The 2,896-nt window shown below is 44.9% G+C and overlaps 1 annotated feature.

The window, feature by feature from the left end:
• Positions 576-776: a silencer, noted in NCBI's record as "peak4292 fragment used in MPRA reporter construct". NCBI's record gives its function as "represses an SCP1 promoter by STARR-seq MPRAs in K562 erythroleukemia cells {active_cell/tissue: K562}" and the evidence as "EXISTENCE:reporter gene assay evidence [ECO:0000049][PMID:32103011]".

Raw genomic sequence — 2,896 nt, forward strand, 5'->3', positions numbered from 1 at the left:
TAAAGGGAGCTTGTTGAGCTCAATTCCAAGGTCTGATTCACTGTTCCTGCTGCCCTGTCAGCCCCTGCTCTTGGAATCTAGATGCATGGACTCTTAGATTCCACTCTACTATGGAAGTTCAAATCTTTCCTAGAAAGGGGCCTGGGGACTTCCGTTTCCATAGTCATATCTTCCTCAGGAGCATAATTTCCATGACACATGACCCTCCAACCGTCCTGCACATGGTGCTTCTCTGAACTGCTACACTGATCCAGAAGCCAAAACCAGGCATTCTCACCATCTCCTACCCTCTCCTCACCCAAAGAAGGCACTTCGTATGTATGGTAGAGTTTCATCAGTATTTAGAGGGACTGAGAAAGAAATCAAGTTGCAAGAACACACACTCTGATTTTTTTCATGCAGGGTAATGCAGCCTCTTCCCCCAAATTTGGATCTAGGCTTTTTTGTTGGGGGGGGGGGGGGGTACAGCCAAGCCCATCAGGGAGCTCAGAGCTAAAAGGCAGTGCTCTATTTGAGAAAGGACACTATTTAGAAGACTGTGGAAGCAATATTTCCCTTGTTGAGCAGAAATGTTTTATTCTTTCTGTAAGTTCTTGGAATATGAGGCCTCACATGACTAGAGGAGCTATTTTAAATATCACAGGAGCTGTTCAGAAAATGGCCTTGCCCAACTCAGGACCAAGGACAGCTCTCAAACCCTTAGAACCAAGGACAGCGTTAAAGGCCTCCCCAGGTGTTCAGCATCACAAACAAAACACATTTCCGTATTATATACATTTTGCATATTAAAGAGAGAAATAGCAGAGGCAAATACGCTCTAAGGCCAAAGGCAATTCTGTTTCTCACATAAGGAAATTCAGGGTACTAGCAAACTATATTTGCCTCTAATTTGATGGACAGAAGCAGAGAAATACTGGCCAGGTGAAGTTTTAATTTTCAGTGGTCTCCTTGGGCCAGCCACTGCAATCTTTCCTCCTACTGTTAGGAACATCTCCATACTCCTGAGCTCCAGGGCCTGCAAATCTCCAACACCACTGACCCCTCTCAAATGGCAAAGCCTTTCCCAGGGTGGAACCCCTGGAATGGTGTTTGTGGTTTACTTTAAAAGGTGTGAACAAATGTCCTTGATAAATTATGTGTTACTTGAAGTTAAATTCATCTTGTTTTTGCAATGGTATTGCCTAGATTGCCTAGAGCCTTTAGCACAACAATTGCATTTGGATTCTTCAAGAGGGGGAATAGAATACCCAGCATTTCTCAAAAGTTTTTAACAGAAAAGCTTTATGGGGGTAAATGCACCATTCAAGACTAGAGTTGTGAGGATACACTTGTGAAAATGCTGGATTTGGAAGGAACATGCTCTTGGAGGCAAGACTCTGTCTCCTCCCCAAGGAAGAGGAGAACTGATCTACTCATGTCGGTCTTGCTCCCATACACACCAGCAGGTCGTACCCACACACCTGGTGCCTGTGATGGTCCCAGGATATCCTGATGTGTCCCATCTTCTCTTGTTTCTTCTCCACTCCAGGTTATTACTCCTGCATCTCCACATCATCTGCTCCTATCTCTTTGGAACAGCCTTAGCATTCTTTCTCTTTGCCTGGGTCTTGGGGTAGAGAAGTTTCCACAAAGAGGACAGAAGTTCTTAGCCAAAAGCAATTCAACATCCTGGCTTGTCAGCAGTGGGAAAAAATCCTGAGGGTGGAAGAACTTCAAGCATTTACTGGGACTCCTGTCTGTCCATCTGCAATTCCCTTCCTAGTGTCATTAAGAGAAGAGGTTTCATGCCTGATGCATCTGTGTTCATTCAAATTTCAGCCCTGCCTCTTACTGTCTTTGGCATGTTTGGGTAAGTCGCTTAACATCTCTGAGCCTCAACACCTCTTCTGGAAATTAGAGATGATGATAATAATAATACTTATTGCTTATATATTGCTGTGAGTATTTCATGAGATAATGTATGTCATAGTCTTAATCAGTGTCTGGCACATAAAATATGGGGAATACACATTCTCTGATATTACTATTTTTCGTGAATGTTGTTGTTTTTGTTGTTATAATTCGTATGCCCAATTGATTCCAGTGCATAATCTAGAGAATGAGATCCACTTAAACCCCCCATAAGCATCCATCCTCAGAACCTCACCTCCCTGGGCCAGGCAGCAGAATGAATGTGCCCCTTCCCTTGAAATCAGAGTCTGCTGTCTCCCCAGGAGGTGCCTGCGTGGAGCTCTGCCTCTTCAGATTAAATGCTGCTGTTGGCAGTGAAACACACAGATTTATTTAGTCATCATATTTGTTGGGTTGCTCTACTGAAAAATGATGGCTCCTAATTAACATATCAACACATGAATCATTTCTGGAGTTCTAGCTGCACAAACTGCCCAGCTGCTGGTCATTTCTCCCAGAAAACAATCAAGGGAAATATACCAAGCTGTGGTTCTCCACCTCGTCCTCTATCCTCCCCCACCCATGCCCACGTCTCCCCTGCTGTTCCCATGAGCATGACAGGCTCCATGGGACAGGAGAGGTGCCAGCTGAGAGCAGGCTGGGGGCTGCAGGGAATGACTTGGTCTTTTCATGACAATTGTTCTCAACCAGATTAGAGGACTCTAACGGAGGCAGGGGTACGGTTTCAAGAGATCATTCATCTTGAATACAGAATTGAGTCTTTTATTACTGAGGAACAGTTTCCAGGTATCTAAATCATAGAATTGGCTCAAAAGTCTCTCCCTCTCTTCCCAAGCACGTGAACCAAGTCCTCATCTTGGCCTGTGAGTACTGTCTCCACAGGCATCAGTCGCCAACCAACAGGCAGGACTTCACAAGACGGAGACAGCCAATCTGGGCTGGAATGGGCTCATGGTTGGGGTAGTGGGGAAGGGTATCTTAACAC

The sequence above is a fragment of the Homo sapiens genome, chromosome 20, assembly GCF_000001405.40.
Source record: "Homo sapiens chromosome 20, GRCh38.p14 Primary Assembly".
Taxonomy (NCBI): domain Eukaryota; kingdom Metazoa; phylum Chordata; class Mammalia; order Primates; family Hominidae; genus Homo; species Homo sapiens.